This window comes from Homo sapiens, chromosome 2 (assembly GCF_000001405.40).
Source record: "Homo sapiens chromosome 2, GRCh38.p14 Primary Assembly".
Taxonomy (NCBI): Eukaryota; Metazoa; Chordata; class Mammalia; order Primates; family Hominidae; genus Homo; species Homo sapiens.
In genome coordinates this window covers 81,824,984-81,850,943 of record NC_000002.12, presented here as the reverse complement: position 1 = coordinate 81,850,943, position 25,960 = coordinate 81,824,984, and the positions used below count along the sequence as shown (strand labels likewise).

Genomic DNA, 25,960 nt, shown 5'->3' with positions numbered 1-25,960 from the left:
CAGACACCTGATGTTTGGAGGTTAGGATCCTTATTGTTCACCCTGGCTCCCACAAACCATGTACAAGCTGCTCCAGGAAGAGGCACACAGCTTCCTACCATGGCTAGGATTGGGGATGAGTAGCCACTACCCAATCAATCAAAAGCTGAAACTCACCAAAATAAACAACTTACTATGCAAGCCATCCCTTGGAAGTAACAAGACTTGCACTTTGTATTTTCTTCATATTTATTCAATTCAGAACTTCAGAATAGTCACATCAAACAGATTCTGCCAGTACAGTTGTTGTCTAGGTGGGGAAACACATTTCTGGGGCTTTCCACTCTGCTATCTTCCCAGAGTCATTTTCTCAGTAAATATTTTGGGGAAAAATAAATTTAACAAAAATAAGCAACTTGGATTTTTTTTTTCTTCACATTTATTTAATTAATTCATTCTTGGATTGAAGGTGTGCCATTTGATAGGCCAACAGGACTCTGAGGCAAATAAGTAATATAGCCTCTAGTTTCCAGAAGTTTTAAGTCTAATAAGAAAGAAAGATAAGCAAACAACTGCAATACCGTGTGAATAGAACTTTAATTGAATACTGCAAAGGTTCAGGCGACATGCCTTCCTCTTGGTGTGAGGGGGTAGATGTTAGGAGAGAGCAGAGAATATTTCATTTAATGCACCATCTCCTACATATGAGTAATTGGTAAAACAAGGATACCCCTTCTGCTGCCTTTCCACTTGGGCTGCCTCACCACCTCCAAGATCCTGTAAAGGAAGCAAACATGTATTAAATGTGGGAAACTTGGGTAAACCATTAGTTTTTACTCACAACATCCTGTTTAATCTCTTTACCTGTCTTTTTTAACAGTCCACTAACTTAAGATATATCTTTTCTGTTTAATTCCAGTCTTCCTTTCTCATGCTCATGAATTTATTCATCAATTTATTAATTATATAAACATTTATTGAGCACCTACTGTGCTCCAAGCACAACGCTAGGCATTTTGCTACTATTTGGCAATAGAACAGCAATAAAGACAACTTGCAAATATTATCTGTACCATGCAACTTGTAGTCTAGTGAGAAATGTAGACATTAAGTAAATCCAAGATGAATGCCATGTTTTACTTTGTCTCTGACACAAATCATGCACATGGCAAATTAAATGTTTTTATAGGTTTTGTGTTCTAATGGACTCAAAAAATAGGGTAAGTATGATTCTCTTTAAAAATTCCATTGAATGCAGCTAATTTTGTACCATCAGCCCATAAATACATTATGATTTTTATCCAATTTCTACATCTTGCCTGAGGTGGCACCTTGTCAATTGAGATGGGCCTTTGCAGCTCAGTTTGCTGTATTCTATATTCTTCCACAAAGGATGGACATGTAATCAGCTCCAAGCCTCAGTGTCTCCTATTCTTGTTATCCTGGATCAAATCTCCTTTTATACAAGGCTCAGGAATCAGGCCTTCACTGGAGGCAGCTTTGGAGAGCTTCTGACATCTCTGTTTCACAATGTTCCACATATGCTTAGTTTTTGTCCACTCACCAGGGACAGAAACAGAATATGGTGTGACATCATGAATGGCATTATTTAGCAATGAGTGAGGAGGACACCCCTAGAGAAGAATGTAATTTTAAACTGGAAAAAAATGATTAAGATCCATGGGTGTGAAAAGAGCAGCAGCAGATGTTGTAAAACACTGGTAAGAAAGAAAGAAAGGTGACAGCTGAGAGTGATTTCATTTTCCTCCAAAGTCTTGCATCCTTACTCAATCATGCCAGATGGAGAAGCAATCTCTATGACATAAGGTCCTGTTGGTCTCACTGCCCTTATCACAAGAGAACTAGTTTAAAATCTTTCCCAAAAAGCATAATGATAAAAGTAAATGCACTGTTTCATTTATTAATCAAAATTCGATTTATCTCACTCATTTGAGACAGCAAGCTGTGGTGGAAAATAACAGACTTTGGATTACAAAGACATGCTTTTGAATCCTAATTATTTTAATTGCTACCTGAATGACCTTGATGGAATTTTTCTTTCTGAGACTTGGTATTCTCACTTACAAAAGATTAAGAGCTCACATTTATTGAGGCCTTACCTTGAGCTGGACATTATGCTGATCAAATTGTTTAATTGTCCCATTTAATCCTTCTAAAAAAAATGTTTGTTCTATGTACTCTTTGCTGGTTTCTATAAGAGAAAATAGAATAGAAGATAATTTAAGGAGTTTAATTAACTTGGAAAAGTCAGCAACCAAACGTAAAAGTTAGGGGATTGAGTGACCAGGAAGATGTGCCTGAGTTCAAATCCCAGATTCATCATATAAGACTGGGCATCTTTTTAAACCTCCTTGTGCCACAATTTCTTCATAGATAAATGCAGGTATTGAAAATAGCTGCATCATATAATGTCTATGGAAGTAGATGCAATAGTATAAGTGTTTTTAGTTTCATTCCTAGAACATAACCGTTCAATATGTTAATAGTTCTAATACTTTATTGTTACTATTTTTATGTTGAGTCAATCAGTGTCTAAGAAATATCTAAATTTAAATCTAGGTCTATTGACCTTCAAAGCCCACACCATACTCACCTACACTGGTGAGTGTTCTTGCTGAGGGTTAAGTGCTAGAGTAATTAGTGGAAATTTTGGCAGTTATTAGGTGCTAAATACTTTGTGATTCCTCCTAGACCCTCTTTATTGTCCCTTCTAGCTGACAAGAGAATAAAATCTTGGTTTTGATGAGGGATGCACATCTCTTAAGTTTTTCAATAAATTTCTCCAATTTCCATTGTATTCTTCAGGTGTCTGTGTTTTGTTTTGTTTTCCAAACCATTTCCTGGACTTTTTATCCTTATTCTACGTTGTAAATATTGATGATATTCGGGTTTACATACGTGGTAAAATTCTCTTCTCTTTTTTGCTTTCTCATACCAATTATATGTTAATTGCTCTGTCAAATACACAATAAATATGAACTGAGTAAGATACTTTGTTCAGAAGGATTATTGAAAACGGTTGGGGGAAGGGACTATTGTCATAGAAAAATGAGGGCTATTGCAGTAGGGAGAACATTAAAACCAGAAAATATGAGTTTATCAAAAGTTAGGGAAAAGGGTTTTTTGTTGTTGTTTTTTAATGGGAAAGAGTAAACAAAGATCGAAAGAACCAGATGTGGAAGTGAGATGAATAACAGTGTCATGATTCAGCAGATTAGGGAATGTTTTCCTGAGGCCAGCCTATTGGAAGTGACTGTTAAAGATGGGTTGTATGCTGTCATAGACTAAGTTTACTCAAAGATAAAGGACTTGGAGGAAACAATCTTAAGCAAAGGTTGGTTAATAAACATTTTGTTTAGATTGATCAGTGGGGACAAAGAATTTACTAATTCCTTATCTGGCAAAGGATGGGAATTTGGAACAACCTTGTCTGATCTTGTCATATAAGGAAGCATGTTTGAGTCTCATCCAAGTCACTTAGGAAGGATGGTTCTTGTCAGTAAGCCATTTCCAAAAACATAAAAGGTGAAAAGATTTTTTGACCTTCTGTTTTTCAGGATCACAGGGCTTGGGTCAATTTCAACAATGTCTAATTCAAAACATGATTTCCATATATGCCTAAGTATGTCAGAAAGACATGTTAAAAACTTAAGACAAATTTAACAGAGTTTAAGTGAGTAAAGAATGATTCACAAATCAGACAGCCTCCACAACCACGATAGATGCAGAGCAACTCCGGGGCTGCTACATGGTCAGATAACATTTATGGACAGAAAAAGGAGAGTGATGTATGATGTAGAGAAAATGGAAATGGGGTACAAAAGCAGCCAAATTGGTTACAGCTCAGTGGCTGCCTTTTTGAACATGTTTGAACAGTTGGCTGCCTGTGATTTGACCACTCTGTGATTAGTGCAAGGGTAGGTTATAGTCGGTTTACACATCCAGTTGTTACAGTTCATTATGTATGGAGAACTGTTGGTGGAACTTAAAATATGTAAGAGGGCAGCTTTAGGCTAAACTTTATTTAATAGACATCACAACCCTGGAATGACATAAAGAGTTCTATTCAACATTTCCAAAATTAAAATCACCTTTCTTGCTAAAATTTATATTAGTTTTGGATTTTTTTCTTTTCTTAGTGGCACCTAGTTATCTAAGATAGAAATGTGAAAATGAAAAGGAAAAAGGAGAATGGCTTTAGTTAATCCAACCCCTCCTGGGTGTCTCACACAGTCAGTCCTCCATAACTACAGGTTCTGTATCCATGGGTTCTGCATTCACAAATTCAACTGCAGATTTAAAGTGTCCATGGGCAAACAAACATAAATCCAATATAACTAAAAATAATACAAATAAAATATAATAGAGTATAACTACTTACATAGCATTTACATGATATTAGGTATTATAAACACAGTAATCTAGAAATGATTTCAACTATACAGGAGGATATACATGGTTCATATGCAAACACTATATAAACCTACATAAGGGAATTGAGTGTTTGTAGATTTGGAAACAAATCTACTAAAGTCACTAAACCTACAGAGCATAAGCAATATCTTCACTTCTAGAAGCATACAGAGCATAAGCAATATCTTTGCTTCTAGAATATAGAAAAAGGCTCCTTTTTCTATATTCTATAAATGAAATCATACAGTAGGTACTGCTTTGTTTCTTTGGCTCAACATTATGTTTGTAAAATTGCGTGCAGTAGTAAATTGCTCATTTTCATTGCTGTGTAGTATTCAACTGTGGATAGACCAAATTATTAACCCTTTCTAATATTATAGGCACTTAAGTAGCTTCCAGACTTTGGCTTTATCAATAGTGTTGATTTGGATATCAGGAACATGTGTTTTTTTTGTTTTCTTTTTCTTTTTTTTTTTATTACACTTTAAATTTGAGGATACATGTGTACAACATGCAGGTTAGTTACATATGTATACATGTGCCATGTTGGTGTGCTGCACCCATCAACTCGTCATTTAACATTAGGTATATCGCCTAATGGTATCCCTCCCCCCTCCCCCACCCCCACAACAGGCCCCGGTGTGTGATGTTTCCCTTCCTGTGTCCATGTGTTCTCATTGTTCAATACCCACCTGTGAGTGAGAACATGTGGTATTTGGTTTTTTTGTCCTTGAGATAGTTTGCTGAGAATGATGGTTTCTAGCTTCATCCATATCCCTACAAAGAACATGAACTCATCATTTTTTATGGCTGCATGGTATTCCATGGTGCATATGTGCCACATTTTCTTAATTCAGTCTATCATTGTTGGACATTTGGGTTGGTTCCAAGTCTTTGCTATTGTGAATAGTGCCGCAATAAACATACATGTGCATGTGTCTTTATAGCAGCATGATTTATAATCCTTTGGGTATATACCCAGTAATGGGATTGCCGGGTCAAGTGGTATTTCTAGTTCAAGATCCCTGAGGAATCACCACACTGACTTCCACAATGGTTGAACTAGTTTACAGTCCCACCAACGGTGTAAAAGTGTTCCTATTTCTTCACATCCTCTTCAGCTCCTGACTTTTTAATGATCACCATTCTAACTGGTGTGAGATGGTATCTCATTGTGGTTTGATTTGCATTTCTCTGATGGCCAGTGATGATGAGCATTTTTTCATGTGTCTGCTGGCTGCATAAATGTCTTCTTTTGAGAAATGTCTGTTCATATCCTTCACCCACTTTTTGATGGGGCTGTTTGTTTTTCTCTTGTAGATTTGTTTGAGTTCATTGTAGATTCTGGATATTAGACCTTTGTCAGATGAGTAGATTGCAAAAATTTTCTCCCATTCTGTAGGTTGCCTGTTCACTCTGATGGTAGTTTCTTTTGCTGTGCAGAAGCTCTTTAGTTTAATTATATCCCATTTGTCAATTTTGGCTTTTGTTGCCATTGCTTTTGGTGTTTTAGACATGAAGTCCTTGCCCATGCCTATGTCCTGAATGGTATTGCGTAGGTTTTCTTCTAGGGTTTTTATGGTTTTAGGTATAACATGTAAGTCTTTAATCCATCTTGAATTAATTTTTGTATAAGGTGTAAGGAAGGGATCCAGTTTCAGCTTTCTACATATGACTAGCAAGTTTTACCAGCACCATTTATTAAATAGGGACTCCTTTCCCCATTTCTTGTTTTTGTCAAGTTTGTCTAAGATCAGATGGTTGTAGATATGCGGCATTATTTCTGAGGGCTCTGTTCTCTTCCATTGGTCTATATCTCTGTTTTGGTACCAGTACCATGCTGTTTTGGTTACTGTAGCCTTGTAGTATAGTTTGAAGTCAGGTAGCATGATGCCTCCAGCTTTGTTCTTTTGGCTTAGGATTGACTTGGTAATGCAGGCTCTTTTTTGATTCCATATGAACTTTAAAGGAGTTTTTTCCAATTCTGTGAAGAAAGTCATTGGTAGCTTGATGGGGATGGCATTGAATCTATAAATTACCTTGGGAAGTATGGCCATTTTCACGATATTGATTCTTCCTACCCATGAGCATGGAATGTTCTTCCATTTGTTTGCATCCTCTTTTATTTCTTTGAGCAGTGGTTTGTAGTTACACTTGAAGAGGACCTTCAAGTCCCTTGTAAGTTGGATTCCTAGGTATTTTATTCTCTTTGAAGCAATTGTGAATGGGAGTTCACTCATGATTTGGCTCTCTGTTTGTCTGTTATTGGTGTATAAGAATGCTTGTGATTTTTGTACATTGATTTTGTATCCTGAGACTTTGCTGAGGTTGCCTATCAATCAGCTTAAGGAGATTTTGGGCTGAGACAATGGGGTTTTCTAGATATACAGTCACGTCATCTGCAAACAGGGACAATTTGACTTCCTCTTTTCCTAACTGAATACCTTTTATTTCCTTCTCTCACCTGATTGCCCTGGCCAGAACTTCCAACACTATGTTGAATAGGAGTGGTGAGAGAGGGCATCCCTGCCTTGTGCCAGTTTTCAAAGAGAATGCTTCCAGATTTTGCCCATTCAGTATGATATTGGCTGTGGGTTTGTCATAGATAGCTCTTATTATTTTGAGATACATCCCATCAATACTTAATTTATTGAGAGTTTTTAGCATGAAGCGTTGTTGAATTTTGTCAAAGGCTTTTTCTGCATCTATTGAGATAATCATATGGTTTTTGTCATTGGTTCTGTTTATATGCTGGATTATGTTTATTGATTTGCATATGTTGAACCAGCCTTGCATCCCAGGGATGAAGCCCACTTAATTATGGTGGATAAGCTTCTTGATGTGCTGCTGGATTCAGTTTGCCAGTATTTTATTGAGGATTTTTACATCGATGTTCATCAGGGATATTGGTCTAAAATTCTCTTTTTTTGTTGTGTCCCTGCCTGGCTTTGGTATCAGGATGATGCTGGCCTCATCAAATGAGTCAGGGAGGATTCCCTCTCTTTCTATTGATTGGAATAGTTTCAGAAGGAATGGTACCAGCTCCTCCTTGGGCCTCTGGTAGAGTTCGGCTGTGAATCCATCTGGTCCTGGACTTTTTTTGGTTGGTAAGCTTTTAATTATTGCCTCAGTTTCAGAGCCTGTTATTGGTCTATTCAGAGATTCAACTTCTTCCTGGTTTAGTCTTGGGAGGGTGTATGTGTTGAGGAATTTATCCATTTCTTCTAGATTTTCTAGTTTATTTGTGTAGAGGTCTTTATAGTATTCTCTGATGGTAGTTTGTATTTCTGTGGGATCAGTGGTGATATCCCCTTTATCATTTTTTATTGTGTCTATTTGATTCTTCTTTTATTCTTTATTAGTCTTGCTAGCAGTCTATCAATTTTGTTGATCTTTTCAAAAAACCAGCTACTGGATTCATTGATTTTTTGAAGGGTCTTTTGTGTCTCTATTTCCTTCAGTTCTGCTCTGATCTTAGCTATTTCTTGCCTTCTGCTAGCTTTTGAATGTGTTTGCTCTTGCTTCTCAGTTCTTTTAATTGTGATGTTACAGTGTCAATTTTAGATCTTTCCTGCTTTCTCTTATGGGCATTTAGTGCTAAAAATTTCCCTCTACACATTGCCTTAAATGTGTCCCAGAGATTCTGGTATGTTGTGTCTTTGTTCTCATTGGTTTCAAAGAACATCTTTATTTCTGCCTTCATTTCGTTATGTACCCAGTAGTCATTCAGGAGCAGGTTGTTTAGTTTCCATGTAGTTGAGCAGTTTTGAGTGAGTTTCTTAATCCTGAGTTCTAGTTTGATTGCACTGTGGTCTGAGAGACAGTTTGTTATAATTTCTGTTCTTTTACATTTGCTGAGGAGTGCTTTACTTCCAACTATGTGGTGAATTTTCGAATAAGTGTGGTGGGTGCTGAGAACAATGTATATTCTGTTGATTTGTGGTGGAGAGTTCTGTAGACGTCTATTAGGTCCGCTTGGTGCAGAGCTGAGTTCAATTCCTGGGTGTCCTAACTTTCTGTCTTATTGATCTGTGTAATGTTGACAGTGGGGTGTTAAAGTCTCCCATTATTATTGTGTGGGAGTCTAAGTCTCCTTGTAGGTCTCTAAGGACTTGCTTTATGAATCTGAGTGCTCCTGTATTAGGTGCGTATATATTTAGGATAGTTAGCTCTTCTTGTTGAATTGATCCCTTTACCATTATGTAATGGCCTTCTTTGTCTCTTTTGATCTTTGTTGGTTTAAAGTCTGTTTTATCGGAGACTAGGATTGCAACCCCTGCCTTCTTTTGTTTTCCATTTGCTTGGTAGATCTTCCTCCATCCCTTTATTTTGAGCCTATGTGTGTCTCTGTACATGAGATGGGTTCCATGAATACAGCACACTGATGGGTCTTGACTCTTTATCGAATTTACCAGTCTGTGTCTTTTAATTGGAGCATTTAGCCCATTTACATTTAAGGTTAATATTGTTATGTGTGAATTTGATCCTGTCATTATGATGTTAGCTGGTTATTTTGCTCATTAGTTGATGCAGTTTCTTCCTAGCCTTGATGGTCTTTACAATTCGGCATGTTTTTGCAGTGGCTGGTACCGGTTGTTCCTTTCCATGTTTAGTGCTTCCTTCAGGACCTCTTTTAGGGCAGGCCTGATGGTGACAAAATCTCTCAGCATTTGCTTGTCTGTAAAGGATTTTATTTCTCCTTCACTTATGAAGCTTAGTTTGGCTGGATATGAAATTCTGGGTTGAAAATTCTTTTCTTTAAGAATGTTGAATATTGGCCCCCGCTCTCTTCTGGCTTGTAGAGTTTCTGCCGAGAGATCAGCTGTTAGTCTGATGGGCTTCCCCTTGTGGGTAACCCAGCCTTTCTCTCTGGCTGCCCTTAACATTTTTTCCTTCATTTCAACTTTGGTGAATCTGACAATTATGTGTCTTGGAGTTGCTCTTCTTGAGGAGTATCTCTGTGGCATTCTCTGTATTTCCTGAATTTGAATATTGGCCTGCCTTGCTAGATTGGGGAAGTTCTCCTGGATAATATCCTGCAGAGTGTTTTCCAACTTGGTTCCAGTCTCCCTATCACTTTCAGGTACACCAATCAGACGTAGATTTGGTCTTTTCATATAGTCCCATATCTCTTGGAGGCTTTGTTTGTTTCTTTTTATTCTTTTCTCTCTAAACTTCTCTTCTCGCTTCATTTCATCTTCCATCACTGATACCCTTTCTTCCAGTTGATCGAATCGGCTACTGAGGCTTGTGCATTTGTCACGTAGTTCTCATGCCTTGGTTTTCAGCTCCATCAGGTCCTTTAAGGACTTCCCTGCATTGGTTATTCTAGTTAGCCATTCGTCTAATTTTTTTTCAAGGTTTTTAACTTCTTTGCCGTAGGTTCGAACTTCCTCCTTTAGCTTGGAGTAGTTTGATCGTCTGAAGCCTTCTTCTCTCAACTTGTCAAAGTCATTCTCCGTCCAGCTTTGTTCCGTTGCTGGTGAGGAGCTGGGTTCCTTTGGAGGAGGAGAGGCCCTCTGATTTTTAGAGTTTCCAGTTTTTCTGCTGTTTTTTCCCCATCTTTGTGGTTTTATCTACCTTTGGTCTTTGATGATGGTGACGTACAGATGGGGTTTTGGTGTGGATGTCCTTTCTGTTTGTTAGTTTTCCTTCTAACAGTCAGGACCCTCAGCTGCAGGTCTGTTTGAGTTTGCTGAAGGTCCGCTCCAGTCCCCATGTTTGCCTGGGTATCAGCAAATATTGTACTTATATATAACTAATTGGGTGGGTAATTTACATTTATTTGCCTTGCAAGTTTGAGCCTTTTCTTATCTGTATTGTCCTTCTGTATTTCAATGTCGTGACTTGATCCACATTCTCATGTAAATGTGCATTATATAGGGGGTTACATATGTAATTTCCTGTAAAGCCAAATTTTAAATCCTAATTCAAGACTGTTGCTCTAGCTAGGACTTCCAGTACTTTGTTGAATAGGAGTAGTGAAAGTGAACATCCTTGTCTTGTCCCAGTTCTTAAGGGAAATGCTTACAACTTGTTCTCATTCAGTACGATGTTGGCTGTGAGTGTGTTATATATGGTTTTCATTACTTTGAGGTATGTTCCCTCTATGAGTAATTTGTTAAGGGCGTTTATAAAGGGATGCTGAATTTTGTCAAATGTTTTTTCTGCATCTATTGAAATGATCTGTGGTTTTTAAAAAATTCTATTTATATTGTGCATCACATTTATTGATTTGTGTATGTTGAAACCTTCTTGCATCCATGGAATAAAACTCATTTAATTGTGGCATATTCTTTTTGATGTGCTGTTAGATTTTGTTGCCTAGTATTCTGTTGAGGATATTAACCTATAGTTTGCTTTTTGTTATTGCTTTCTTGCCTCATTAGAGTAATATCAGCTTCATAGAAGAGTTTGGGATGAATCTCTCCTCAATATTTTTGAACAGCTTCAGTAGGATTGGTATCAGTTTGTCTTTGTATACCTGTTAAAATGCAGCTATGAATCTGCCTGATCCTGGGCTGTTTTTCTGGGCGTGGAGGGGGAAGTTTTTTATTGCTGATTCAGGTTTATGACTAATTATTGGTTTGTTCATGACTTCTCTTTCTTCCTGGTTTTATGTTGGAAGGTTGTATGTTTCCAGGAATTTATCCATTTCCTCTAGATTTCCTAGTTTTTGTCCATAGAGAAGCACATAGAAATATCTGATCTTTGTGTTACTGTGGTATCAGTTGTAACGTCACCATTATCATTTCTGAATGTGCTTATTTGAATTTTCTGTTGACCTTTTCATATTGTGTTCTGAGAATTCTTTATACATTCTGGACACAAGTTCTTCAATATTTGATGTGCAAGTACTTTCTCAAGTCTGTGTCTCTTTTCATTTTCTTGAGTGTTTTTTGCAGAATAAAGTTTATGTAATTTAATTAATTTATTTATTTTGAAATGGAGTCTCACTCTCTCACCCAGGCTGGAGTGCAGTGGTGTGATCTCGGCTCACTGCAACCTCTGCCTCCTAGGTTCAAGCGATTCTCCTGCCTCAGCCCCCTGAGTAGCTGGGATTACAGGCACCCACCACCACACCCACCTAATTTTTGTATTTTTTGTAGAGATAGGGCTTCACCGTGTTGGACAGGCTGGTTTCGAACTCCTGACCTCGTGATCCACCCACCCTGGCCTCCCAAAGTGCTGGGATTACAGGCGTGAGCCATAGCACCCGGCTTTTTTATTTATTTATTTATTTATTTTAAGGAGGAAATTGAGGCAGTAATAAATAGCCCACCAATTTAAAAAAGCCCAGGACCAGATGGGCTTTTTTTGGTTGACAGGCTATTATTCTTCTTTGCACCTCTGGTAGAGGTGCAAAGAAGAGCTGGCACTATTTCTACTGAAACTATTCCAAAAATTTAAAAGGAGGGACTCCTCCGTAACTCATTTTATGAGGCCAGCATTATCCTGACATCAAAACCTGGCAGATATACAATACCAAATATGAAAACTTCAGGCTATTATCCCTGATGAACATCAATGCAAAAATCTTCAATAAAATACTGGCAACCTGAATCCAGCAGCACATCAAAAAGCTTATTCACCACAATGAAGTTGGATTTATTGCCAAAATGCAAGAAGGTTCAACATATACAGATCAATAAATGTAATTCATCATATAAACAGAGAACTAAAGACAAAAACACATGATTATCGCAATACATGCAGAAAAGGCCTTCAAAAAAACCAACATCTCTTCATGTTAAAAGCTCTCAATAAACTAGATATTGAAGGAATGTACTTGAAAATAATAATAGGCGTATATGACAAACCCATAGCCAACATCATACTAAATGGGCAAAAGCTGGAAGTATTCCCCTTGAAAACCAGCACAAGATAAAGATGCCCTCTCTCACCACTCCTATTCAACACAGTATTGGAAGTTCCGGTCAGGACAATTAGGCAAGAGAAAGAAATAAAAACTATTCAAATAGGAAGAGAACAAGTCAAATTATCTCTGTTTGCAGATGGCATGACTCTATATCTAGAAAACCTAATTGTCTCAGCCTAAAGACTTCTTAAGCTGATAAGCAACTTCAGCAAAGTCTCAGGATACAAAATCAATGTACAAAATTTTCTAGCATTTATATACACAAAAAACAGGCAAGCAGAGATTGAAATCATGAATGAACTCCAATTCACAATTGCTACAAAAAGAATAAAATACTAGGAATACAGCTAAAAAGGGAAGTGAAGGACCTCTTCAAAAAGAACTACAAACCACTGCTCAAGAAAATCAGAGAGAACACAAGTAGAAAAACATTTCATGCTCATGGATAGGAAGAAATAATATCTTGAAAATGGCCATACTGCCCAAAGCAATTTATAGACTCAATGGTATTCCCATTAAACTACCTTTAACATTCTTCACAGAATTAGAATAAACTATTTTAAAATTCATGTGGAACTATAAAAGAGCCTGTATAGCCAAAACAATCCTAAGCAAAAAGAATAAAGCTAGAGACATCATGCTACCTGACTTCAAACTATACTACAAGGCTATAGTAACCAAAATAGCATGATACTGGTACAAAAACAAACACATAGACTAATGGAACAGAATAGAGAACTCAGAAATAAGACGGAACACCTACATCCATCTGATCTTCGACAAACCTGACAAACGCAATGGGGAAAGGGCTCCCTATTCAATAAATGGTGCTGGGAGAACTGGCTAGCCACATGCAAATGATTGAAACTGGATTCCTTCCTTACATCTTATACAAAAATTAACTCAAGATGGATTAAGAATTTAACTGCAGAACCTAAAACTGTAAAAACCGTAGAAGAAAATCTAGGCAATACCATTCAAGACACAGGCACGAGCAAAGATTTCATGATGAAAATGCCAAAAACAATTGCAACAAAAGCCAAAATTGACAAATGGGATCTGGTTAAGCCAAAGAGCTTCTGTACAGCAAAAGAAACTATAATCAGAGTGAACAGACAACCTACAGAATGGGAGAAAAGTTTTGAAATCTTTTCATCTGACAAAGGTCTAATACCTGAGTCTGTAAGAAACTTAAACAAATTTAACAAGAAAAAGCTAAACCCCATTAAAAAGAGGACAAAGGACATGAACAGACACTTCTCCAAAGAAGACATTCGTGTGGCCAACAAACATATGAAAAAAAGCTCAACATCATTGATCATTAGAGAAATGCAAATCAAAATCACAATGAGATACTATCTCAGGCCAGTCATCATGGCAATTATTAAAAAGTCCAGAAACAACAGATGCTGGCAACGTTGCAGATAAAAGAAAATGCTTTTACACTGTTGGTGGGAGTGTAAATTAGTTCAATCATTGTGGAAGACATTGTGGAAATTCCTCAAAGATCAAAGATCCTCAAAAATGGCAGAAATACCATTTGACCCAGTCATCTCATTTCTGGCTATATATCCAAAGAAATATAGATGATACTATTATAAAAACACATCCACACGTATATTCATTGCAGTGCTATTCACAACATGAAGACATCAAATCAACCCGAATGCCCTTCAGTAATAGACTGGATAAAGAAAATGTGGGACCTATATGCCATGGAGTACTATGCAGCCATAAAAAGAATGAGATCATGTCCTGTGCAGAGACATGGATGGAGTTGGAAGCCATTATCCTCAGCAAACTAACCCAGGAACAGAAAACCAAATACCGCATGCTTCTACTTATAAGTGGGAGCTGAATGATGAGAACTCATGGACACATTGGGGGGATCAACACACACTGGGGCATGTCAGAGTGAGGGGGCTGGGAGGGAGAGCATCAGGAAGAATAGCTAATGGATGCTGGAGTTAATACCCAGGTGATGGGTTGATCTGTGCAGCAAACCACCATGACACATGTTTACCTATGTAACAAACCTGCACATCCTGCACATGTACCCCAGAACTTAAAAGTTGAAGAAAAAAAATAGTGTATGTGACCTAGTCCTTGGTAATGAATTGTTAAGACATGACACCAAAAGCAATCAATCAAAGGTAAATTTTATTTCTTTTTAGAGCCAACTTTTTATTTAATTGATACCTTGTATTGCTTGTTGGTTTCAATATTATTTAGTTCCACTTCAGTCTTTCTTTTTTCTCCCAGGTTTGTGTTCGGTTTGTTCTTGAGGAATAGGTATACTTTATAGTTCGAACTGCAAAGTAAACTCATTATGTGATAATACATTTATTGAAATATCTTAAAGCCTTTTACATTATTTTTCTTAATTTTTCAAGTTTTATGTTTAATTGACAAAAGTTGCACATATTTGTGAAGTACAATGTGATGTTTCTATAAATGTATATATTGTGGATTAACATATCCCTCATCTCAAATAGTTTTGTGGTGAGAACATTTAAAATTCATTCCTTTAATTGTTTTAAAATATACAATATAGTAGGCCCCCCTCATTCACAGGGGATAACTTGGAAGACCCTCAGTGGATGCCTGAAACCTCCAATAATACCAAACTGTACATATACCATATGCCTTTTATTTCTATAAACAAATACATACAGTAAAAACTTTAACCTTTTTCCTTAAAGGACAAACTTTGTGGCTTTTCTTTAGCATATCTGAAATACCATGATCACTACTCTTGCACTCTGGAGCTATAAGTATTACTTGAACTACAATATCACAATGAGTAGTCTGATAATCGACAGCTACTAAGTGACTAATGGGTGAGCAGCATATTTAGCATGGATAGGCTGGACAAAATGATGATTCATGTCCTGGGCAACAGAGTAGAATGAGAGATTTCATTATTCTCCTCAGTATATCCTGTAATTTAAAACTTATGAATTGTGTCTGAATTTTTATTTAATATTTTTTAACTATGGTTGACCATGAATAACTGAAACCAAGGAAAGTGAAACCACACATAAATGGGCACTAGTGTACATTAATTTTAACTATATATACCTTGTTGTGCAATAGATCACTAGAACCTAATTCTTCCACTCTGAGCTTATGTAACCTTAATCAGTGTTTCCTGTAGCCATGACCACCTATTTCCCCAGCCTTGAGTAACCACTATTCTACTCGCTCCTTCTATGAGTTCAATTTTCATTTTGCACATGTAAGTGAGATCATGTGGTATTTGTCTTTCTGTGCCTAGCTTATTTTATGCAGTGTTATATACACCTAGTTTCATCCATGTTGTTGAAAATGACAGAATTTCCTGTACTTTTAGGACTGAATGGTATTTCATTGTATCCGAATACCACATTGTTTAATCCATTCATCCATTGATGGGCACTTCAGTTGTTTCCATATATTTGCTGCTAGGAATAATGCTTCAAAGAGTATGGGAGTACAAACATATTTTTGACATATAGATTTTAATTCTTTGCATAGATACACAGAAATCATGTGTCATATAGTAAATCAATTTTTAGTTTGAGAAACCTTCATACTCTTTTCCAAAATGGCTATATTAATTTACATTTCCACGAACAGTACACAAGGTTTTCCTTTTCTTTACATCCTTGCCAATACTTGTTTTTCATCTTTTTGACAATAGCCAACCTAACAGGTGGGAAGTAATATCTCATTATGGTTTTATTTGCATTTCTCTGACTAGAGATGTTTGCTGTTTTTTCATTTATCTGTTGGTTATTTGTATGTCATCTTCTGAGGGTCTATTCAATGTCTTTACTCAATTTAAATAGCTATTTGTTTACTTTTTATTGAGTAACTTGAGTGTCTTGTATCTTTTGAATATTAGTCTCTTATTCAAGGTATGATTTCTAAAATTATTTTCTACCATCTGTAGGTTTTAAGTATCTCTTCACTCAGTTATTTCCTCTACTGTGAGAAAGTTCTCTAGTTTGATGCACTCTCATTTGTCTGTTTTTGCTGTGGTTGTCTGTGTTTTAGGGGTCATGTGCGCAGTGGCTCATGCCTGTAATTCCAGCACTTTGGGAGTCCGAGGCGGGTGGATCACGAGGTCAGGAGATTGAGACCATCCTGGCTAACACGGTGAAACGCCGTCTCTACTAAAATACAAAAAATTAGCCGGCCTGGTGGCGGGAGCCTGTAGTCCCAGCTACTCAGGAGGCTGAGGCAGGAGAATGGCGTGAACCCGGGAGGCGGAGCTTGCAGTGAGCCGAGATGGCGCCACTGCACTCCAGCCTGGGCGACAGAGTGAGACTCCGTCTCCAAAAAAAAAATAAAAAAATAAAAAATATTACTACCCAAACCAATGTCATGGAGTTTTGCATGGTATGTTTTCTTCTAGTAGTTTTACAGTCTCAGATCTTACATTTATAACTTTAATTCATTTTAATTGATTCATATATAAAGGGTAAGAATCCATTTTCACTCCCTGTGTGTGGATATCCAGTTTTCCCAATACCATTTATTGAAGAGATTGTGTTTTCTTGGCTTGTCAAAAATCAGTTAAGCCATAGATGTATAAGCATGTTTCTGGGAACTCTATTTGGTTAGTCAATGTGTCTTTATGCCAGTACCATTGCTATTTTGATTATAGCTTTGTAATATATTTTGAAATTTACTAGTACGATGTCTTCAGCTTTGTTCTTTTTGGCTAAGATTGGTTTGACTATTCAGAGTCTTTTGTAGTTCCATACAGATTTTAGGATTTTTTCATTTCTGTGAAGAATGACATTAGTCATTTTATAGAATTGCATTAAATCTGTTCTTTACTTTGGGTATTATAGTATGATCATCTTTACAATATTATTTTTTTCCAATCCATGAACATGGGATGTCTTTTCATTTTTTGTGTCTTTTTTTTTTAACAAATGTTTTACAGTTTTTTATTGTAGAGTTCTTTCACCACCTTTGTTAAATTTATTCCTAGGTTTTTTTTTTGTTTTGTAACTACTGTAAATGGAATTGCTTTTTTATTTCCTTTTAGCTATTTTGTTGTTGGTATGTGGAAATACCTAATTTTGTAGCCTGCCATTATACTACATTTGTTTATTACTTTTGAGGTTTCTGGTGGTGTCTTTAGGTTTTCCTACATATGAGATTATGCCATCTGCAAAGTTTACTTTGTCCTTCCCAATTTAGATTCTCTTTATTTTTTGCTTGCCTGATTGCTCTGAATAGTGCTTTCAGTACTACGTTGAATAAAAGTGTTAAAAATGGAAATCTTTGTTTTGTTCCACCTCTTAGTGGACGCTTTCAAAGTTTCCCTTTTTAGCATGATATTAGCCGTGGGTTTTTCATAAGTGGCCCTCATGGTTCTGAATATTTTTTGTGTGTGTACCCAGTATATTGACAGTTTTTATTATGGAGGGTTTTTGAACTTTATCAAATGCTTTTTTGGCATTAATCAAAATAATGTTTTTTTTTTTGATCTGTAGATTTGATATATCCTATTTTTTTAATTTATTTTAAATTTTTAATATATTTAGTGGTTATAAATGCAAGTTTCTTACATGCATATATTGTGTAGTGGTGAAGTCTGAGATTTTAGTGCACCCATATCCTGAATAGTGAACATTGTACCCAGTAGGTGATTTTTCAATGCTACTTTTCTCTTACTCTCCCACCTTTTGTAGTCTCCAGTGTTCATTATTTCATTCTGTATGTCCATGTGTACCTATTGTTTAGCACCTAACCTATTTAAAAGTGAGAATATGCAGGCTGGGTGCAGTGGTTCATGCCTGTAATCTCAGCACTTTGGGAGGCCAAGGCAGTTGGGTCCGTTGAGCTCGGGAGTTCGAGACCAGCCGAGGCAACATGGCAAAACCCTGTCTCCACCAAAAATACAAAAAAAAAAAAAAACAGGTTTGGTAGCACATGCCTGTGGTCCCAGCTACTCAGGAGGCTGAAGGGGAAGGACTGCTTGAGCCCAGGAGGCAGAGGCTGCAGTGAATTGAGACCATGCCACTGTACTCCAACCTGGGTGAGAGTGAGACTCTGTCTCAATAAAAAAATTAAAAAATAAAAATTGATAATATATGGCATTTCACTTTGTTTCTGAGTGATTTCAGGATAAAAATCATTAAATCACTAAATTTTTATTAGGATAAAAAGTCAGCCATAAAGCCATCTGGTCCTGGGGTTTTCTTTGATGGTAGACATTTAATTAGTGATTCAATATTCTTGCTTGTTATTATCCTGTTCAGATTTCCAGAGTATTCATGATTTAATATTGATAGGTCACATACTTCTAGCAATTTATCCATTTTTTTCTAGGTTTTCCAATTTGTTGACACAATTGTTCCTAGTAATTTCTTATGATTCTTTGTATTTCTGCTAAGGGTTAGTCTGCGAAGGGTTGGTCAACTTTGTTCAGCTCTTCAAAACACCATCTTTTAGTTTGTTGATCTTTTTCAGTTTTTTCATTGTCCTTATTTTAGTTACTTCTACTCTGAATCTTATTTTCTTTCTGCTAACTTTTGATTTACATTTGACCCTTACACAGCATACAGTTGAATTGCATGGATCCACTAATTTACAGAATATTTCAACCAAATGCAGATGAAAAATACAGTACTTGTGGAATGTAAAACCTGCATATACAGAGGACAACATTTTGTAACCAAGGGTTCTGCAGGTCTGACTGTGGGATTTGAGTATGCAGATTTTGGTATACATAGGGGGTCCTGGAACCTATCCTCTCTGTATATCGAGGGATCGTTGTATTTGGCTTTTTTTTCCTTTTCCCTAGTTTCTCGAGGTATAATATTAGGTTGCTTATTTGAGATATTTCTTTTTTTCTTATTAAAGGCTTTTAGTGCTATGAATTTTCCTCCTAAAACTGCTTTGCAGCCTCCCATATATTTTGGTAAGTTGTGTTTCCATTTTCATTTGTCTCAAAGTATGTTCAGCATTTCTCTTAATTTCTTCTTTGACTCAGTAATTGTTCAGAAGCATATTGTTGAATTTCTGTTTATTTTCCATGATTCCTTCTGTGACTGATTTCTTGTTTTGTACCATTGTGGTCAGAAAAAAAAGAATACTTGACACTTGACATAACTTCAATTTTTTAAACTGTGTAAAAACTTTTTTTTGCCCAACATATAATCTATCCTGGAGAATATTCCTTCTGAACTTGGAAAAAAATATATCCTGTAACTGTTGGATGAAATATTCTGCATATGTTTGCTAGGTTCATTTCAACTAAAGTATGCTTTAAGTCGAATGTTTCTATTTTGAGTTTCTGTTTGAATGATCTGTCTGGAGTCGAAAGTGGGTTACTTAAATCCCCTACTGTCACAGTCTAGGTCTCACTTCAGATCCTTTAATATTCATATATTTAAGTGCTCCAGTGTTGGGTGCATATACTTCTCTATCACTATGTAATTACCTTATTTTCCTTTTTTAAATATATTCTGACCTAACATTTACTTTGCCTGTTATAAGTATGGCAGGAGGACATATCCCCCTCCTGCCCTCCTTTGATATCTGTTTGCATGAATATTTTGTTCTGTCCCTTCACCTTCAGTCTGTAAGTGTCCATTAATTAAAGTGAATATCTTGTGGGCAGCCGCGTATAGTTACATCTTTTTTTTTTTTTTTTTTTTTTTTAATGAGACGGAGTTTTGCCCTTTTTGCCCAAGCTGGAGTGCAATGGCAGGATCTCGGCTCACCGCAACCTCTGCCTCCCGGGTTCAAGCGATTCTCCTGCCTCAGCCTCCCGAGTAGCTGGGATTACACACATGTGCCACCACGCCTGGCTAATTTTGTATTTTTTAGTAGAGACAGGGTTTCTCCATGTTGGCCAGGCTGGTCTCGAACTGCTGACCTCAGGTGATCTGCCTGCCTCGGCCTCCCAAAGTGAGGGGATTACAGGCGTGAGCCACGGCACCCAGCTGGTTTTTTTTGTTTGTTTTTTGAGACAGAGTCTCACTCTGTCACCCAGGCTGGAGTGCAGTGGCGCGATCTTGGCTCACCGCAAGCTCTGCCTCCCGGGATCACTCCATTCTTCTGCCTCAGCCGCCTGAGTAGCTGGGACTACAGGTGCCCAACACCACGCCTGGCTAAATTTTTGTATTTTTAGTAGATACAGGGTTTTGCCTTGGTAGCCAGGATGCTCTCAATCTCCTGACCTCAGGATCCACCCGCCTTGGCCTCCCAAGGTGCTGGGATTACAGGCATGAGCCAGTGCGCCCGGCCCCTGTTTTGTTTTGTTTTAATAGCCACTGGTTTTTGTTTGTTTGTTTGTTTAATGCCTTTTGATTGGGAAATATAATCAATTTGTATGACTGACAGGTAAGGACTTATTCCTGTCATTTTGTTAGCTGTTTCCTGGTTATTATGTGTATCCCTTGTTTCTTTATTCTTCTCTCTTCTACTGTGTGGTCTGACAGCTTTCTGTCATAATATGCTTTGGATCTTATCTTTTGTGTATCATATGCTTTTTTGCTTTGTAGTTACCTAGAGGATTAGATAATTACCATATACTGAACAAGCTACTTTATGCTGATAACAACTTAATTTTTGATTGTATATACAGATTCTATACTCCCCCTCCTCTCATGTTTTATGTTTTTGGTGTTACAATTAACAAATTTTTATAATTTGTATGTTTCCACAAATTGTTGTAATTTCAGTTGCTTTTAATTAGTTTTGCATTTTAACCTTAATTTTAGATATTTAATGGTGGTTTTACTAACCACCATTGCAGTATTAGTGTTTTGGATTTGACAATGTATTTTTATCAGTTTTTTTTTTTACTTTCATGTTTTAATGTTGTAATTTTGTGTCTTCTTTCTTCAACTTAAATAATTCCCTTTAGCATTTCCTATAATGTAGGTCTGCTGGTGATATACTCTCTCACCTTCATTTGTCTGAGAATGTTTTATCAATATTTTTTTCTTTCAGGGTTGTGAATGTATCTTTCCACTCTCTTCTGGCCTGTAAGATTACAGGTGAAAAATCTTCTGATAATACAATGAGAAGTTTCCTTTGTACGTAGTAATTCAGTTTTCTCTTACTGCTTTCAAAACTCTCCCTTTGTCTTCAAATTTTGACAATTCAATTATGACCTGTTCTGGTTTGGGTCATTGCCGTTATTTCTTTGATTGTGTTTTCTGTCTTTCTCTTCTTCTTCTCCTGAAAACAAATATGTGTATGTTGTTTCACTTGATGATGTCTCATATATCTCTAAAGCTATCTTCACTCATCACTCCTTTTTTACTTCTGCTGATCCAGATTAGAAGATTTTCTTGTATCTGTCTTCTAATTCACTGACTTTTCTTCTTGATTTGTCTGCTGTTGAAACCCTCTACTGAATTTTCTAGTTGTTATAGTTTTCTTCACTTCTATGATATCTGACTGGTATGTTTTGTACTTTCTATCTTATTGTTGAAATTAATGGGATTTTTTTCCTTGCATTGCTCTGCTGTCTTCGGAGGTCATCTTTGTTAAAGCAAACTAAATATGGCCTGAGAAGGACTCTGTACTTCTATACTTGAGTCCCTGTGGATAAACTGTAACCTAGCTTAATAGTCAGACAAAATTGAAAACCTGACTTAGGAGTATGCACCTGTAACAATAACTGAGTCTTAGCCAATCCCAGCAACAATACTTGAACCACTCATAGACTGCTAAGTGTTCAAACTGTGTTCAATAAGGCAATGCCAACCTGTAATCAGTCCAGCTGTTTCTGTACCTCACTGCTGATTTCTGTATGTCATTTCCTGTTTTTGTCTGTAAATATTTTTCTACCACATGACTGCCCTGGAGTCTCTCTGTATCTGCTGTGATTCTGGGAGTTGCCCGATTTGTGAATCATTCATTGCTCAGTTAAACTCCTTTAAATTTAATTTGGCTGAAGTTTTTATCATCTATATGAGCATTATTTTGAGTTCCCTGTTGGGTAGCTTCATTCTACTAAGACTGTTTTTTTAGATATTTATTTTTTCTTTTATTTGGAATATATTTCCATGTTTCTTTTTCTTGATTTTTCTGTGTTTGTTTCTGCACATTGTATAAGAAATATGTCTCTCCCATTCTTTTCAGATTGTAGTTGTGTAGGAGAATGATCTCAGCAATCTATCTGGCCAGAAATTTTAAGATGCCTCTTCTAATCTTTGTGTTTGTCTGAATTGCTTCTTCTGTTTTTGGTAGTCCTCAGAAGATTATGATGTGCAATGTCCCATCAGCACCCAAAGACTGATAAGTCAGAAACCAGTTTCTCTAGATATAGCTGGAAAGGTTGGAGTATGAAGTTTTCCTAGTTCCTTCTATTTTCATAATGAAGCTAAACACAGGTGTTTGTCTCTCACTTTGCACTAAGCTGGGGAAAAAATATGAGGGGAAGGTCCATATTCATATTCATATTGTACTATCTGACCCTGAGGAGACAGCTACTGGAAGTTGTTCTGTTGTATGTCCAACCCTTTGTTTTCTGTGGTCTTAGGAGACTCAGGAAGACAAAGTCCTGTAGACTCCCAGAACTAGATCATCAAGCAAACAGTCTCATGGGTGGAATCTAAAGTTGTGGCTTTGGTGCATGCATAAAGTGTTTCCAGGTAGAATGGCTAGACATGGATTTATCACTGGGGTGAGCCAAAGAAAAGGCTTAGCATGTGCTGAGCTCCTACTCAGGCTGCTAGAGGGCTACTGTTGTGTCCCTGTATGGCTCCCTGAAGCAAGTTAGAAGCCAGGCCATCAAATAGCCTCTGGAAGATTGTATCATAAACCCCTGCTGGAAAGAAACAGGAAGTTGTTTTCAAGCCCCGTCTCTGCATTGCTTTTAGGGGACAAGGCTCTTGAACATGTTTGCATGCCCATAAAAAACTGCCACTTTTTTCTCTGTAGTCTGAAGAGACTCACATATGCCTAATTTCCTCTGCTCTTGAAGTTGGTGAATTAACAGCTGCACTATAGTTAGAGTGCTATATGTGTTGTCCAAACTCTCGTCTCCACAGGGAGAAGCAGGCTGTTTGGGATTCCTTCCTGATTTTATTTCACATACCGGGGTCCCTGGTCCATGCCTCAGTGTACCTCAGCTTTTTTTGCTGGTTTGATACAAATGTTTTCTTAGTTGATAAGAGGAAGCCTCTTAACTCATCTTAGATTGAATTAATACGTGAATAAATGTTTATTCAGAGTGCCTACTGGTAGAGAGAGTCAGGAGCCTTCTATTCTGCCATGTTGCAGAATAGAAATCACCTCAAGCCTTCTACATTATTAATGTCCACAAAAAACCTATGAGAGGAATATTATTTTTCCCATTTGATAGACAAAAAGTTTGTGACTAAGGAATGTCAAGTCAGCTTCCACAGGTTACATATGTAATAGGTGATGGAGTGTATTAGTTCTCACATTGCTAAAAAGAGATAGCTGAGATTAAGTAATTTAAAAAGAAAAGAGGTTTAATTGGCTCATGATTCTGCAGGCTATATAGGAAGTATGGCTTGGGGCATTTGCTCAGCTTCTGGGGAGGCCTCAGGAAACCCACAATCATGGTGGAAAGTGAAGGGGGAGCAGACATCTCATACGGTAGGAGCAAGAGAAAGAGAACAAGATGCAACATACTTTTAAGCAGCCAGATCTCATGAGAGGTCACTCACTATCATAAAGACAGCACCAAGGGGATGGTGGTAAACTATTATGAGAAATCCACCCCCATAATCCAATCACCTCCCACCAGGCCCCACCTCCAATACTGAGGATTATAGTTCAATATGAGATTTGGATGGGGACACATAACCATACTATATCATAGAACTTAGTTTATCAACTTTTGACAAACTCCTTATTGTATATGTTATAAAATGTCATTTGACTTCATACCTATTTAAGAGTTCTGAATAGTTTCTAAGGTTTTTACTTATACAGTAACATACTTTAGACTAGTAGATTTACAATGCAGGGATAAAGAAGTTTGACAAGTAGGACTGAGGGAGAAGAGAAGAGTCATGATCAGAGAAAATGGATGCCAAATGTATTCCTGTGTTAGTCTTAGTGTCATTGGTACCACATAGGTTTTCATAGTTTCAAAATGCCCAGATTCTAAGCAATAAACTAATGACTGTATCATTTCATTACTTAATATTAGATATGGTAATGTATAACTCTTAGGCCAATACTCCACAGTTTTCATAAAATATTTACAGAATGATTTCCATAAGCATATGGTTTTCTGTGATACTAGCTGATTGCCCTCCATGATGGCAACACCCTCAGGCTTTTGCATTAGGTTGACTGAGTGGCCTGACTTTTTAGTGGTTACAGTACCATTTTTTACATTTATCAGATAATCAAATTGCTTAAGAAATAATATCAAGTAGGATTACGCATGATCTATGCTCTGCTTTGGACCAACAGAGTATCTTAGAACCAGACTGTCTGGTTTGAAAAAGACAACTCAGTGATTTTCACAACTATGTATGGTCACCATCTTTCTGATGAGATGGACAGATATACAGGAAATATTAGGATAGACATATTAGGAAATATCTGGGTATAAAAGCAGCTCCTGCTACTAAGTGGTTGATTTTCCTTTCTGTTCTGACCATTGTGGGCTGTGTGTGAGGAGAAACATACATTGCCTTTGCTCTCACCTTCATACTCTGAAATTAGATAGATATTCTCTTTACTGCTGGAAGAGAAAAAGTCAAATTGTTTTCTATCATTCTCTATGATTAAAAACAAAGAGGGAAGAAGAGAGGGAGGAAGGAAAGAAGGTAGGAAAGAAGAAAAATGATAAAATACCCTATGTATTTGACGTCCAAACTAACTTATCTCTGGCTTACTGATTTACGCAAGAGTCACCTTCTATGCCGAATTAGAAGGAATTGCTAATTATCATGTATTTTGAAACATAAATCAGGAAGCCCCTGAGGAAACATAAATCAGGAAGCCCCTGAGAAATCCAAAATCATTACCTGACTACATATGTAGCTGTAAGTAATGACTGTTTGTAAAAGACTTTGAAGATGAAAAGCACTTTAATTGGAGTAACCCTCAATCATACAGAAGCAGGAAACCTAAGTAAATGAAAATATTAGAACATGAATGGATTATTTTAAACTAGAATAACAGGACTTTAAATGTGTGATTTTTTTTCTCTTTTCTTGGAATGTCAGTTAAAGTTACAAAGCTAAAATCAATATGCTAAGTATTCTAAATAGAGCTACAAACATATCCTGTGGGACATAAGAAGAAAAGCTGCACTTGGTGGTTTGAGTATCATCTCTCCTGACATACCTCGAGCCTGTGTAAAAAAGAAAAGTTACTTTGAAAGGAATTTGTAGGACTAAATTTCCTTTTGGATTTTCTCTTCTCCCAAGAGAAGGAGGTATGTGCTCTGCTCTTCCCAAATCAAGGAATGTAGATCTTGCTAACAGAACTGCTCAAAGACATGGGGTGCTTGCAAAATTAAAAAGAAGGGCATTTTACTCAACGGATGGAAAAAAAGAGACCTTTCTGTGGTCATTGGTAATAAAGGGACAAATTGGCAAAAGTTATACATATCTATATATATACATCATTATTTTATTTTACCTTGGGACTTAGGGGATTTTGTGACAATAGAAATTTTGATCTACTTCACCTATGAGCTCTGGTATCAGAAATCTG

General features: G+C 36.9%; 1 long non-coding RNA gene across 14 annotated transcripts in view; it reads right to left on the bottom strand.

The window, feature by feature from the left end:
- Window positions 1-210: 210 nt before the first annotated feature.
- LOC102724542 (uncharacterized) overlaps window positions 211-25,960 on the bottom strand; it is a 368,996-nt gene continuing 343,246 nt past the window's right edge. For 12 of the 14 annotated variants that reach the window (NR_187701.1, NR_187699.1, NR_187692.1 and 9 more), the window contains 2 exons: window positions 2,100-2,191; window positions 211-756 (listed from right to left, as the gene is read on the bottom strand). This is a non-coding gene — a long non-coding RNA (uncharacterized LOC102724542). Of the gene's footprint in view, window positions 757-2,099; window positions 2,192-14,491; window positions 14,604-25,960 lie in introns of all 14 variants that reach the window. The other 2 variants (NR_187698.1, NR_187704.1) reach the window with 1 other exon arrangement.